The 15,600-nt window shown below is 42.2% G+C and overlaps 1 protein-coding gene across 5 annotated transcripts in view, besides 1 other annotated feature; it reads left to right on the plus strand.

Annotated features, from left to right (window-relative positions):
* Positions 1 to 15,600, plus strand: part of AOX1 (aldehyde oxidase 1) — a 96,228-nt gene that overhangs the window by 54,120 nt on the left and 26,508 nt on the right. For all 5 annotated transcript variants that reach the window (XR_007073113.1, XM_011511062.2, XM_017003946.2 and 2 more), the window contains exons 24-26: positions 965 to 1,051; positions 2,477 to 2,668; positions 10,841 to 11,068. Coding sequence is in view for 4 of the 5 variants with exons in the window: in XM_011511062.2 (XP_011509364.1) it covers positions 965 to 1,051; positions 2,477 to 2,668; positions 10,841 to 11,068 (507 nt within the window). In the remaining variant the exon portion in view is untranslated. The remainder of the gene's footprint in view (positions 1 to 964; positions 1,052 to 2,476; positions 2,669 to 10,840; positions 11,069 to 15,600) is intronic.
* Positions 8,318 to 9,517: an enhancer, noted in NCBI's record as "MED14-independent group 3 enhancer chr2:201513174-201514373 (GRCh37/hg19 assembly coordinates)". NCBI's record gives its function as "activates an origin of replication core promoter dependent on BRD2, BRD4, P300/CBP and CDK7 cofactors, and independent of MED14, by STARR-seq in HCT116 cells {active_cell/tissue: HCT116}" and the evidence as "EXISTENCE:reporter gene assay evidence [ECO:0000049][PMID:35650434]".

Here is a 15,600-nt window from a genome sequence, read left to right on the forward strand (position 1 = left end):
GTTTGATAGAGGCAAGAGTAAGGGGAGAGGGAGAATTAGAACACAGAGCACTTCCTGGAAGGTAGTAAAAAATAGGATTGATGGGTTTAGGTGATGCCTGACTGAGAGGGGCCTACAGTCCCAGAGTGGGAAGTTTAAACTTGATCTTAAAAGAAACAGTGAGACTGAGTGGATCCTTGAATGGCTCAGTGCCGTAATTAAACACAGATGCTTTGGGGAGGGTAACAGGATAGTCTGGGGAGGAGAGAGGATGGAAGCTGGTAGACAGCGGGAGGCAGCTGATGCATTCAGACATGAAGCACATGGGGTCTGAGATATGACAGTAAGTTGTAGAAGAGATGGGTCCAAGAGCCATTATAGTGTAAAATAAAAGAGAATTGGTGAAAATCTTGGCAAAATGCTATGAAGAATACAACCGCAAACATGACTTGGAGGGTTTTAGAAGAAAGCGACAAGTTGGAAGGAGGAACCGATCTGGAAGAACGATGAAGAGCTTGTTTGTGTAAATGCTGGGGGTAGAAGTGACAACAGGACCCTGAAGCAGAAATGTCCTTTACCACCATGGGACTTTGCTGAAAGGACTGGATTATAGTGACAGAAGCCATTGTCATAATGGTGACTAAAACTATGAGAAAATAATGTTTTCTGATGGAGAGTAGTGTGAGGAAAGGTGATATGAATACTACTTACGATACTATTATTAATTATATTTAGAGTACTTGCTATGTTTCAGGCACTTGCCTATAATTTTCTATGTGTTGCCTTATTTACTTCCATTTCACAGATAGTCTGAGTGGTTACACAGCTTGCCTAAGATCACAGAGCTAGTTATATACTATCCGAGAAATCACTGCCAAATCCAATGTCATGACGCTTTTCCCCTATGTGTGGAGGGTTTGCAAATGACAAAATTTGGAGAGACTTGGCCCCTGTTCCAGCATTCGATATCGGTTCTCTTCCCCAGGCTGGATTCATGAACGATGGCAGAATCTTGGCCCTGGACATGGAGCATTACAGCAATGCAGGCGCCTCCTTGGATGAATCATTATTCGTAAGTGTTTTAAGGAGCAAGTTCACATTCCTGAAAAGAGTGTTACATAAAATAATTTAACTTAGAAAATGCCCAATAGTTAAGTAATATTTGATTATAAAGGTATAATGACCATCCTTGCAGGGATAGCCATGTGTTACTTCCTGGTGCCCAAAGTGTGAGCCCAGAGATGCTGGCTAAGTTGCATCTGTGTGTTACCCCCCGGCTTCCCATACTTAGAGCTCTTTTCCTAGATGCACACATGAGACCAAGCTTTCTCAGTTTTGGCCCTATTGACATTTTGGAGTGTGTAGCTCTTTATGGTGGGGACTATCCTGCTCATTGTACCATCTTTGGCCTCTACTTAGTAGGTGTCAGTGGCATTACCACCCTGTAGTCTTTTTTTATTTTTATTTTTTGAGACAGAGACTCACTCTGTGCCCAGGCTGTAGTGCGGTGGCTCAAGCGATCCTCCCACCTCAGCCTCCCAGGTAGCTGGGACTGCAGGTACATGCCACCATGCCTAGCTAATTTTTTTTTATTATTATTTTGTAGAGATGGGTTCTCACTATGTTGCCAGAGCTGATCTCAAACTACTAGGCTCAAGCAATCCTCCCATCTTAGCCTCCCAAAGTGCTAAGATTACAGGCGTGAGCCACTGTGTCCAGCCCAACCCCAAACAAAAATGTTTCAACCAGGCCAGACGCAGTGGCTCACACCTGTAATCCCAGCACTTTGGGAGGCTGAGGTGGGTGGATCACTTGAGGCCAGGAGTTCAAGACCAGCCTGACCACATGGTGAAATCCTGTTTCTACTAAAGCCGGGTATGGTGGCACACACCTGTAATCCCAGCTATTTGGGAGGCTGAGGCAGGAGAATCACTTGAACCCCGGAGGCAGAGGTTGCAGTGAGCCGAGATTTCACCATTACACTCCAGCCTGGGCAACAAAAGTGAAACTCTGTCTAAAAAAAAAAGAGTTTCAACCAAAATGTTAACAATGAAAAATGTCTCCAGACATTGCCAGACGTCCCCAGGAGCAGGGAAAGGATTGCTCCCCATTGAGAACCAATACATTAGACCCAATGCCAAAACATTTTTTTCTGTTTTCACTGTCTTCCAGGATATTATATTCATTACATTCTATAGACCCAGTGCTCAGGGCCTGTGAACATATCAAAGGCCTTTGTATATATTTGAAATCTTAAAAAATGCATTAACTCCAAAATACAAAAATAAAAAATAATGCTCTCAAAGGAAAAATTATTCTAATACTTAAAAATTATTTTACAGCAAAAAATGTGTTTAATTGGGGGCATGGGAATATTTTAGCATGTTAGATGAGATGAAAAGAGAGCTGCCATTTTCGGCCTGGTTTTGGTCTGAGGTCGTAGGATGGTGAAACAGGTTCAGAAGATCTTAATCACATCAACTCTGGATTTCTCCAGGTGATAGAAATGGGACTTCTGAAAATGGACAATGCTTACAAGTTTCCCAATCTCCGCTGCCGGGGTTGGGCATGCAGAACCAACCTTCCATCCAACACAGCTTTTCGTGGGTTTGGCTTTCCTCAGGCAGCGCTGATCACCGAATCTTGTATCACGGAAGTTGCAGCCAAATGTGGACTATCCCCTGAGAAGGTAATACTAAATCAGCTTCACAGACAAAACATGTGGAATGTCAGAGACGGTAGGGCCTTTGGGGGCCATTCAGGTTGAGGAATTTGAGACCCAGAGGGGCAAATGATTTGTGCCAAGTCCCCCAGCTAACTGGTTAATGCGGAGCCCAGACTCCAAAGTTCAGCAATACTCACCTTACTCAGACTCCTGCTCCAAAATCCTGAAGCAGAAGATCCTGAGGACTGAGCACTGCATTCTCCCCTGGCTGGTGAGAAGCTTCCATTGGCTGGGGGTATAACTGCTACCCACAATTCCATCAAGGCCCTCATTCCCCGCTTCCTGAACATCTCAGCCAGCTGTCAAAAAGTTGGTCATTTCAGTTGCTAAACTGATCTCCTTTTGGTTCTTTTTTTTTTTTTTGTAACATTAATAGGTTGGTTTTTATTTTTATTTATTTATTTCCATAAGTTATTGGGGTACAGGTAGTATTTGGTTACATGAGTAAGTTCTTTAGTGGTGAATTGTGAGATTTTGGTGCACCCATCACCCGATGGGTGTATGTATATACATATACACACGCACACATATATATGTGTATATATATATACACACACACACATATATATATATATACATACATACATACACACACCACAGTTTCTTTATCCACTCATTGATTGGTGGGCATTTGGGTTGGTTCCAAGATTTTGTTATTGTGAATTGTGCTACTATAAACATGCAGGTGCAAGTATCTTTTTCGAATAACAACTTGTTTTCCTCTGGGTAGACACCCAGTAGTGGGATTGCTGGGTCAAATGGTACTTCTACTTTTAGTTCTTTAAGGAATCTCCACACTGTCTTCCATAGTGGCTGTACTAGTTTACATTCCCACCAGCAGTGTAGATGTGTTCCCTGTTCACCACATCCACGCCAACATGTACTGTTTTTTGATTGTTTGATTATGGCCATTCTTGCAAGAGTAAGGTGGTGTAGCATTGTGGTTTCAGTTTGCATTTCCCTGATCATTAGTGATGTTGAACATTTTTTCATATTTTTGTTGGCCATTTCTATATCTTGTTTTGTGAATTGTCTATTCATGTCCTTAGCCCACTTTTTGATGGGGTCGTTTGTTTTTTTCTTACTGATTTGTTTGAGTTTCTTGTAGGTTATGGATATTAGTCCTTTGTCAGATGTATAGATTGTGAGGATTTTCTCCCACTCTGTGGGATGTCTGTTTACTCTGCTGGCTGACTGTTCCTTTTGCCATGCAAAAGCTCTTTAGTTTAATTAGCTCCCAGCTATTTATCTTTGTTTTTATCGCATTTGCTTTTGAGTTCTTGGTCATGAAATCCTTGCCTAAGCCAATATCTAGAAGGGATTTTCCAATGTTATCTTCTAGAATTTTAATAGTTTCAGGTCTTAGGTTTAAGTCCTTAATCCATCTTGAGTTAATTTTTGTATAAGGTCAGAGATGAGGATCCAGTTTCATTCTCATTACATGTGGCTAGCCATCCTAGCACCATTTGTTGAAAAGGATGTCCTTTCCCCACTTTACGTTTTTGTTCGCTTTGTCAAAGATCAGTTGGGTGTAAGTATTTGGGTTCTCTATTCTGTTCCACTGGTTTCTATGTGCCTATTTTTATACACTACTACACCATTTTGTTGACTATGGCCTTATAGTATAGTTTGAAATCAGGTAGTGTGATGCCTCCAGATTTGTTCTCTTTGCTTACTCTTGCTTTGGCTATGCGGGCTCTTTTTTGGTATCATGTGAACTTTAGAATTGTTTTTTCTAATTCTGTGAAGAACAATGGTGGTATTTTGATGGGGATTGCACTGAATTTGTAGATTGCTTTTGGCAGTATAGCCATTTTCACAATGTTGATTCTACCCATCCATGAGCATGGGATGTGTTTCCATTTGTTTGTGTCATCCAGTGTTTTGTAGTTTTCCTTGTAGAGGTCTTTCAACTCCTTGATTAGGTATATTCCTAAGTGTTTTATTATTATCATTATTATTTGCAACTATTGTAAAAGGGGTTGAGTTCTTGATTTGATTCTCTGCTTGGTCGCCATTGGTGTATAGAAGAACTACTGATTTGTGTACATTAGTCTTGTATCCGGAAACTTTGCTGAATTCTTTTATCAGTTCTAGGAGCTTTGTGAAGGAGTCCTTAGGGTTTTCAAGGTAAATGATTATATCGTCAGCAAACAGTGACGGTTTGACTTCTCTTTACCGATTTGGATGCCCTTTATTTCTTTCTGTTGTCTGATTGCTCTAGCTAGGATTTCCAGTACCATATTGAAGAAGAGTGGTGAGAGTGGGCCTCCTTGTCTTGTTCCCGTTGAATGCCTTCAACTTTTTCCCATTCAATATTATGTTGAATGTCTTTAACTTTTCCCCATTCAGTATTATGTTGGCTGTGTGTTTGTCATAGATGGCTTTTATTACATTAAGGTATGTCCTTTGTATGCTGATTTTGCTGAGAGTTTTAATCATAAAGAGATGCTGGATTTTGTCAAATGCTTTTTCTGCATTGAGATGATCATGTGATATTTGTTTTTAACTCTGTTTATGTAGTGTATCAAATTTATTGACTTGTGTGTGTTAAACCATCCCTGTATCCCTGGTATGAATCCCTCTTGATAATGGTGGATTATGTTTTTCATATGTTGTTGGAGTTGGTTAGCTAGTATTTTGTTAAAGATTTTAGCATCAATGTTCATCAAGGATATTGGTCTGTAGTTTTCTTTTTTGGTTATGTCCTTTCCTGGTTTTGTTATTAGGGTGATGCTGGCTTCATTAAATGAATTTACTTAAGGTTCCTTCTTTCTCTATCTTGTGGAATAGTATCAAAAGGATTGGTACCAATTCTTCTTTGAATGTCTGGTGGAATTCTGCTGTGAATCCTTCTGGTCCTGGACTTTTTATTGTTGGTAATTTTTAAATTACCATTTCAATCTCGCTCTTGTTATTGGTCTGTTAAGGGTATCTAATTCTTCCTGATTTAATCTGGGAGGGTGTATTTTTCCAGGAATTTATCCATCTCTTCTAGGTTTTCTAGTTTATGTGCACAAAGTTGCTCATAGTAGCTGTGAATGATCTTTTGTATTTCAGTGTTGTCAGTTGTAATATCTCCTGTTTCGTTTCTTAGTGAGGTTATTTGGATTTTTACTCTTCTTTTCTTAATCTTCCTAACGGTCTATCAATTTTATTTATCTTTTCAAAGAACCAGCTTTTTGTTTCATTTATCTTTTGTACTTTTTTTCCAGTTTCATTTAGTTCTGCTCTGATCTTGGTAATTTCCTTTCTTCTGCTAGGTTTGGGTTTGGTTTGCTCTTATTTCTTTAGTTCCTTGAGGTGTGACCTTAGAATGTCAGTCTGTGCACTGTCAGTCTTTTTGATGTAGGCACTTAGGGCTATGAACTTTCCTCTTAGCACCGCGTTTGCTGTATCCCAGAGATTTTGACAGGTTGTGTCATTATTGTCATTCAGTTCAAAGAATATTTTAATTTCCATTTGATTTCATTTTTGACCCAATGCTCATTCAGGAGCAGGTTATTTAATTTCCATGTATTTGCATGGTTCTGAAGGTTCCTTTTGGAACTGATTTCCAGTTTTATTCCACTGTGGTCTGAGAGAGTGCTTGATATAATTTCAATTTTCTTAAATGTATTGAGCTTGTTTTATGGCCTATCATATGATCTATCTTGGAGAAAGTTCCATGTGCCGTTGAATAGAATGTGTATTTTGCAGTTGTTAGATAAAATGTTCTGTATATATCTGTTTAGTCCATTTGTTCCAAGGTATAGTTTAAATCCATTGTTTCTTTGTTGACTTTCTGTCTTGATGACCTATCTAGTCCTGTCAGTGGAGTACTGAAGTTCCCTACTATTGTGTTGCTGTCTATCTCATTTCTTAGGTCTATTAGTAATTGTTTTATAAATTTGGGAGCTCCAGTGTTAGGTGTGTATATGTTTAAGATTGTGATATTTTCCAGTTGTACAAGGCCTTTTACCATTATATAATGCACCTCTTTGTCTCTTTTAACTCTGTTGCTTTAAAATTGGTTTTGTCTGATTTATATCAGACAGAATAGCTACTCCTGCTCGCTTTTGGTGTCCATGTGCACGAATTGCCTTTTTCCACTTCTTTACTTTAAGTTTATATGAGTCCTTATGTGTTAGGTGAGTCTTCTGAAGGGAACAGATAGTTGGTTGGTGAGTTCTTATCTATTCTGTGGTTCTGTATCTTTTAAGTGGAGAATTTAGACCATTTATATTCAATGTTAGTATTGAAATGTGAGGTACCATTGCATTTGCCATGCTTTTTGTTGCCTGTGTACTTTGTTTTTTATTTTTTTGTTTTTGCTTTTTAACATGTATTTATGTTTTATAGGTCCTATGTGACTTATGCTTTAAAGAAGTTCTGTTTTGATGTGTTTCCAGGATTTGTTTCAAGATTTAGAGCTGCTTTTAGCAGTTCTTGTAGTGGTGGCTTGGTAATGGTGAATTCTCTCAGCATTTGTTTATCTGAAAGCAACTGTATCTTTCCTTCATATGTGATGCTTAGTTTCACTGGATACAAAATTCTTGGCTGATAATTGTTTTGTTTGAGGAGCCTGAAGATAGGGAACAATCCTTTCTAGCTTGTAGGGTTTCTGCTGAGAAATCTGCTGTTAATCATGTAAGTTTTCCTTTATAAGTTACCTGGTGCTTCTGTCTCACAGCTCTTAAGATTCTTTCCTTCATCTTAACTTTGGATAACCTGATGACAATGTGCCTACGTGAAGATCTTTTTGCAATGAATTTTCCAGGTGTTCTTTGTGCTTCTTGTATTTGATGTCTAGGTCTCTAGCAAGGCTGGGGAAGTTTTCCTTGATTATCCCCCTGAATATGTTTTCCAAGCTTTTAGAATTATCTTCTTCCTCAGCAACACTGATTATTCTTAAGTTTGGTTGTTTAACATAATCCCAGACTTCTTGGAGATTTTGTTCCTATTTTCTATTCTTTTCTCCTTGTCTTTGTTGGATTGGGTTAATTCAAAGACCTTGTCTTCGAGCTCTGAATTTCTTTCTTCTACTTGTTTAATTCTACTACTGAGACTTTCCAGAGCATTTTGCATTTCTAAAAGTGTATCCAAAGTTTCCTGAATTTTTTTATTGTTTTTTTCTTTAAGCTATCCATTTCCTTGAATATTTCTCCCTAACTTCTTGTAACTTTTTTAAAATTTCTTTGAATTGGGCTTTGCCTTTCTCTTGTTCCTCCCTGATTAGTTTAATAACTAACCTCCTGAATTCTTTTTCAGGTAAATCAGAGATTTCTTCTTGGTTTGGATCCATTGCTGGTGAACTAGTGTGATTTTTTGGGGGTGTTGAAGAGCCTTGTTTTGTCATGTTACCAGGGTTGCTTTTCTGGTTCCGTCTCATTTGGGTAGGCTCTGTCAGAAGGAAAGTTTGGGGCTGAAGGCTGTTGTTCAGTTTCTTTTGTCCCATGGAATGTTCCCTTGATGTAGTACTCTCCCCCTTTCCCTATGGATGTGGCTTCCTGTGAGCTGAACTGCAGTGATTGTTGTCTTTCTTCTGGGTCTAGCCACCCAGCAAGTCTACCCAGCTCCCGGCTGGTACTGAGGGTTGTCTGCACAGAGTCCTGTGATGTGAACCGTCTATGGGTCTCTCAGCTATGGATACCAGTGCCTGTTCCGGTGGAGGTGATGGAGGGTGCAGTGGACTCCATGAGGGTCCTTAGCTTTGGTGGTTTATGCTCTATTTTTGTGCTGGTTGGCCTCCTACCAGGAGGTGGCACTTTCCAGAAAGCATCAGCTGTAGTAATGTGGAGAGGGATTGGCGGTGGGCAGGGCCCTAGAACTCCCAAGATTAAATGTCCTTTGTCTTCCACTACCAGAGTGAATAGGGAAGGACCATCAGGTGGGGGCAGGGCTAGGCATGTCTGAGCTCAGACTGTCCTTGGGTGGGTCTTGCTGTGGCTGCTGTGGGGGATGGGTGTGAGATTCCCAGGTCACTGGAGTTGTGTACCTAGGAGGATTATGGCTGCCTCTGCTGAGTCATGCAGGTTGTTAGGGAAGTAGGGGAAAGCCAGCAGTCACAGGCCTCACCCAGCTCCCATACAAGCAGAAGGGTTGGTCTCACTCCCAATGTGTACCCCCCAACAGCCCTGAGTTTGTTTGCAGGCAGACAGTGTGATGGGCTTGAAAACTTGCCCTGTGCTGCACCCCTAGCTGAGAGAGAAAAGGGCTTGGTTTCTCCCCCTGCCTGTGGAGTCTGCACACCAGATTTGTGCCCTCCCACTGAGCTCTGACCAGGAGGCTTCTTGCCCCATTCAAATTGTTACAAAGTTCAGCTAGAGATTTCTTTCTCCCTGTGGAGTTTCACCCCCTACTTCTCTGGTCCCCCGCCCCCTCCGCCCCCACCATGGATCCCTGTGTTGTTAGGCAGGAATGGCCTGGCCTGCTAGGGGACACAGCAAGCTCCTAGGGCCTTTCTGCTGCTTCCTCTACCCCTGCATTTTGCTTGGCTCTCTAAATTGTCTCAGCTTCAGGTAAAGTCGGAATCTTCTCCTGCAAACAGAATTTCAGCTTCTCCCGTGGGGGTGTGTGTCTGGGAGAGGAGGATCTCCCTTCCCCCTCACAGCTGGGGCACTCACGGTATTTGGGGTATCTCCTGGGTCCTGCAGGAGTAGTCCACTTCCTTCAGAGGGTTTGTGGGTCCTCTCAGGATTATTGCTTTGTTCTTGCAGTCGATCTAGAGCTAAAATTCGGCGAACTTCCACAAGCTGCTCTGTCCAGAGCTGCAATCTAGTCCTGCCTCCCGTCCGCCATGATGATCCAATTTCTCCTTTTGGTTCTTTCAGTCTCAGCCCCAACTTTGTTTATTGACAACGACCTTCCCCTTCCTGGCTCCTCCTCCCAGATCCTGGAATGGAATTAGTGTGGGGAGATGGGGTGAGCTCTCTCTCAGCCCCTTCTCCTCCCCTGTGCCTTCTGCTGTGATGCTGGTGCAAGGAGGAAGAGAAGAAGGACCAGGAAAACAGTCAGTTTCTCCCTGTGTGACTTCTCCCGGCAAGCTCACAGTCCTCTCTTTGGACAGATGTCACTTTTCAAGTACATTGTCTATGGCTCCATTTCTGCCAGCTCTTCCAGAAATTGGCAGTCCTTGGACCTTCAGCGGGCAGCTGGCACAGCATTCCACTGGTGACCACACCTCTCTGCTCATGCCCCAGCAGTCTTTAGAAGGCCCCAGGTCCCAATTCATCTACCAGCTTTCACCCAACAGTAGCCACTTTCTTTGCTTCTCTTGAACGTGTGGGAGGCCTTGCCCCTCCCTTCCTGGCCATCCCACTAAACTCTCTCCTGATGTCCTGCCACATTTGGTAGCACTAAGGAGGAGAATTACATCCTTCCCTTCATTCCCAGGGAAGTTAGAGCAGGGAACAGCCTCTTAAAAACACCACTTTCCCCCAAATGAGATGGCTTACTAATTTCCAGTGTTTCTCTTACAATGATCTGATAATTTGCTTCGGAGGGTGGGGAGAGTGTGTCTGTGATGGCTCTGTCAGCTTAGGGAGGGGGCTGGCCACAAGTGCTATGAGTTTTCTCAGCTGAGAATGTGACATACTTGGCACCTTTTATTCTCAGCTTAGGGTCTTAGTCACCAATTCTGGGAATACAGGAAGAATTCTACTCAGTGCTTCAGACATCCTGGGATAGAATCTTTTAATTTGTTCTTCATCCTAGATATTGGTTATATTTAAACGAACTTTCATGCTTGCCTGTTTTGGAGGTGAGTAGTCTTATCTTGCAACATAGCATGGGAGTAATCCAAATCATGTGGCCTAGATGATCTTTCAGCAGATACCCAAATGCAACTAGAATTAAGAGTCTACAGTGTACATGGACTGTGTTGAGTTATATTGGAACATAAGGTAAAGGTTCCATCCTTTAAAGTTGCACAAGAGTAGCATAGAAAGCACATAAGTAATTGCTAGCACGTTTGATAGAAGCTCTGAGTAGAGGAAGAGGACAATGTTGTGCATTAGGAAAGGCTTCCACAAGGACTCAGTAGAACTTGGCTTGGACCTTACAGGATGGGCAGAATTTGACCAGGAGGATGGTGAATGGATGAGCCTATGTCTGCTGGGTTTCCCCTCCCAGCTTTAATCTCCTTTTCTTTCATAGGTGCGAATCATAAACATGTACAAGGAAATTGATCAAACACCCTACAAACAAGAGATCAATGCCAAGAACCTAATCCAGTGTTGGAGAGAATGTATGGCCATGTCTTCCTACTCCTTGAGGAAAGTTGCTGTGGAAAAGTTCAATGCAGAGAATTATTGGAAGAAGAAAGGACTGGCCATGGTCCCCCTGAAGTTTCCTGTTGGCCTTGGCTCACGTGCTGCTGGTCAGGTGAGTTCTCCAAATGCACATGAGGATGCTGCCTGGAAGCAGCCCTGACAAAGCAAGAGGTGTTGAGGAAACTTCTCCTTAAGTCATATTAGCCATATGGTTGCAATGCCCAATTGTTAAATTTCACAAAAGCCACCAAAGTCAAAGTAATTAAGCTAGCTTTACTCCAGAGGAGACCAGAGCTCCTCTGCTCACATGCCCATGGTTGGTCAAAAACATTCTTGCTGGAAATTGGGAGACTGAGGTTTACTCCTGGCCCTGGCAACAGGAGTTGGCAAATGGCAGCTGAGTCCATTTGCTCTGGGCTCAGACTGCTCATGTGGAAAGCAGGAGGGTGGGACTGATGACCTCCAAGACTCCTCTTCCAGTGTCCGCAATTCGGTGTCGCTGGACCATGAAATAGAAATGAGGAGCTGCAAGGTTTTGGGTGCTCCACTCCTTCTGGGTGGGTTGGAATAAATTAAATTCAGAAAAATAAATCACTTTTTAAATAGAATTTTTGAAGTTTATTCACCTTGTACCTTTTAAAACTGTGAAAGGGGGGACTGGGAATCTGCTCTTGCAGTTTAATTTCTTTCATTGATTAAAGAAATCCCCTTGCTTGGTTGCAGTTTCCACCTCTTCATTCTTGACTTCATTCATTCTTAAGAATGAATAAAACTTACCCCTAACGGCTGGTGAAGGACTGCAACATTCTAGCTCATTGTATGGCAGCCGGGAACCCCTATTATCTATTTTATTACATACACACATCCATGTACATACAGATAAGCTGGGAGGACCCTCACAATTGTCACTCCTCTTTGCAGAATTCACTCCTTGGTTGGAGTCATGAAGAAGGCATGGCAGCTGTGCTGAGCGATCACAAAATAGGAACAAATGGCAGGGTAGGGGAGCTTCGAGAGGGGCGTTAGTGTGGATGTTGTGTGTTAAGGGATCAGAAGAGGCCAGGAAAAGTGGGTAGGAAGGTCCTTTCCTCCATCCCATATCCATCCATTCACCTAACTGTCCTAGTTGAGCTTTGGTGCCATCCTGAGAACATTTGCATGCAGCTTTGATTGTAGGCAGGTGGTAGGTCAGAGAAGTGTTATAACAAATGATGATCTTATTGCAGTCTTCTCATTCCTTGCCTGTTTGTGATGGCAAAAAATAACACAGAGCCATGTAGTCATCTGCATGCAGTTTACTCAAATGTGGGAGACAGTCAAGATACTGTGGTTGAGAAATAAAAGCAAAAACGAGGTTATTACAAAAGAAGAGAGAAAGAAACTACCACTGGGAAAAGGGTTTGTAAGCATTGAGTCTTGGTATAGAATTTTGGGGTAAACTGATTAGCTGGCAGCTACCAAAGAGGTCAGCTGGGGCTGTCTGTCCTTGTGCAGACTAGTCAGGATCATCAGGAAAAACAGCCTCCATTGTTCATGGATCCTCTGGAAATCCTCTCACGTTTGGCCGTGGGTAAACATGGCGCACTGCCTCTATTTGATGGCTGCCATTACTTTATATCTGGCCTCCACCATAGACCAGGTCTCACCCATTTTCCTCATCAGAATTTTCTCAAAAAGTAGATTTGAAAAATATGGTGAGGTGCAGTGGCTCACGCCTGTAATCCCAACACTTTGGGAGGCCAAGACAGGAGAATTGCTTGAGGCCAGAAGTTTGAAACCAGCCTGAGCAACATAGTGAGGCCCCATCTCTACAAAAAAGAAAAAATAATAATAGTGACAATTACTGAGCACTACGATGTTGTAAGTACTTTTAGGTATTTCATTTAATCTTGGGACAACCTAGAAGATTTGTATCCTCATTTTAGGTATAAAAAAAATCTAGGCTTAGAAGGTTTAAATAACTGGCTCAAGGTCCTGCAGCTGGTAGAGGTAAGGCTGGGGCTAGAACTCAGGCCTGAGTGGCTCTGAAAGCTGGGTTTTCTAGTTACACCACGTGGTCTCCCCAAAACACCTTTTGATAGGAACTGAAGTGGGATTCAGCTCAGCTGAGAACAAACTAGGCAACAGCCAGCAGTACAAATTCATTCTTGAAGGCCACCTGGGAAACTGACCAACTTACGTGCTGAAAATATTTACTTAGGGCTGAATCAAGGAGTTTGAGACCAAACTCCGTGGAGGGCACATGCTAAAAGCCTCCATTCTGAAACAAACTAAATAGAGGAGGAAACTAGACATGATATTTGAGTGCCTTCTCCATGGAAGGACCTGGGCTGGGGAATTTGTAATCTCCACTTGATTATTCTCTATCTCATCTCTATCAGGTAGGTATGAATCTCTCTATTTCACAGAAGGGGAAACTGAAGCTCATAGGGATTCTCTCTGTTGCCCAAGGACATCCAGCCAATAAATGGCAGAACAAGGATTCAACTTCAGCACCGCCTTCATCGTCCCACAGGGCCTCCCTGAGCAGAGGCAGTCCCTGCCCAGCAGCTGAGGGGGTCAAACGTGCCCCACCTGTGTTATGCAGGCATACCTTGTTTTACTGCACTCTGCTTTATTGCACTTCCTAGATGCTGCATTTTTTACAAATTAAAAGTTTGTGGCAACCTTGCTTCAAGCAAGTCTATTGGTGCCATTTTTCCAACAGTATGTGCTCACTCTTTGTCACCTTTTGGTAATTCTCACAGTGTTTCAACCTTTTTCATAATTATGGTGATCTGTGATCAGTTATCTTTGATTTTACTGTTGTAATTGTTTTGGAGCACCATGAACCACATCCATATAAGACAGCAAACTTAATAAATGTTTTGTGTGTTCTGACTGCTCCACAAATAGAGGAGCATTCTTCCCCCATTTCTCTCCCTCTCCTCAGGCCTCCCTATTCCCTGAGACACAATGATATTGAAATTAGGTCATTTAATAACCCTGCAGTGGCCTCTAAGTGTTCAAGTGAAAAAAAGAGTCACAAGTCTCACTTGAAATCAAATGCTAGAAATGATTAAGCTTAGTAAGGAAGGCACTGCACTCCAGCCTGGGTGACAGAAGAGACCCTGTCTCAAAAAAAAAAAAAAAAAAAAAAAAAAACAGAAAAGAAATTGTTACAACTACCTCCTCAATCGTCAGCAACCACCACCCTGGTTAGTCAGCAGCCATCAACATTGAGAAAAGACCCTCCACCAGCAAAAAGATTCTGACTCTCTGAAGGCTCAGATGGTTGTTAGCATTTTTTAACAAAGTATTTTAAAACTAAAATATGTACAATCTTTTTAGACATAATGCTAGTGTACACTTAATAGAGTACAGTGTAGCATAAACACTTGTATGCACTGGGAAACAACGAAAATTGTGTGATTTGCTTTATTGCTGTGGTTTGGAGCTGAACCTGCAATATCAGTGTACTTACTTCCTGCAGTCTGAACACTGAATGGCACAGACAGGACCTAACCAACCTCTGTGTGTCCAATGCCTTACTATGGCACTTGGCACAGAGTAGGAACTCAAATGTCTGAATGGCTGAAACATTTGGGGAATCTGCGGGTTTGAAGCTAACTTCTCATCGATACCAGTAGTATTTGTTTGAAGATTTAAATTTCCCCGACTAGGTCCTCTACTTATGTTGGAGGACCATCTACTCCAGCTCTCCAGTTGTGCTTGTTTTATAGATGAAGCTTTGCAGAATTATCTTTTGTGGCACTAACAATGAGCTGTACAGTGGTGCCACTTAACTAAACCAAATTTGACATTTTAAATGGCCCAAGGAGATTGCAGCACCACATGGAACAAATGGCTGAGTGATATCTGATAGACATGCTGTCTTGGACATACAGGCTGAATGCTATAACCAGCAGGGTCACACAATGTTGGAAAAGTATAATCCACTATAATTGTAGCTTAATCACATGGGCCAAGTCCAACTATGAATTACATGCACACTTTGCGAGCCAAGGAGGCCAAATATGGAGTCTACAAGATTAAGAAACAGATTGCATGGCTATGCTACTGCAAATTTACTTACCAAACATTTACTGAGCACCTACCGCATGTGTGTTGCTATGTTGCATTCCGAGAGATTCCTTAGGACGTGATCCTTCCTTTCAGGGGGCTCATATTCTAGCAAAGCACAATGAAGTGCCATGGAATGGGGCCCAGGAGCTATTGTTGCAGCTGGCATCACCTGACATCTGATGCATGGCCCCCAGGCAGCCAGCCCTGGGCTCTCTGTAGAGGAAAACTCTTCCTTACCTTTATTATTTTGAGGATGAATGTCCAGGAGCAAAAGATGGTGTTTCCAGGAGTCATGAGTCAATAAACAGTAAAAAACACTCTATTACATCTTCCCAAGGTCCTTGGGTGTCATTATCATGGCTACTATGCCTTCCTCAAGAGTCTAAGTTTCTCCTTTGGACTGTGGACATATGTGCCTGGTCCTCAGAGAAAGGGTATCCTGATGTCCCCATTTGCCCAGTACATCCCTAGTTTACACCTGCCGACCAAATAAATGGAGTGCATTTTCACTGTCAAACTTGCCTTATTTGGAATGATAGAGGTTTCTGGTTGTCATTCACGGGGGTAATGTGAACCTTT

This window comes from Homo sapiens, chromosome 2, assembly GCF_000001405.40.
Source record: "Homo sapiens chromosome 2, GRCh38.p14 Primary Assembly".
Classification (NCBI taxonomy): domain Eukaryota; kingdom Metazoa; phylum Chordata; class Mammalia; order Primates; family Hominidae; genus Homo; species Homo sapiens.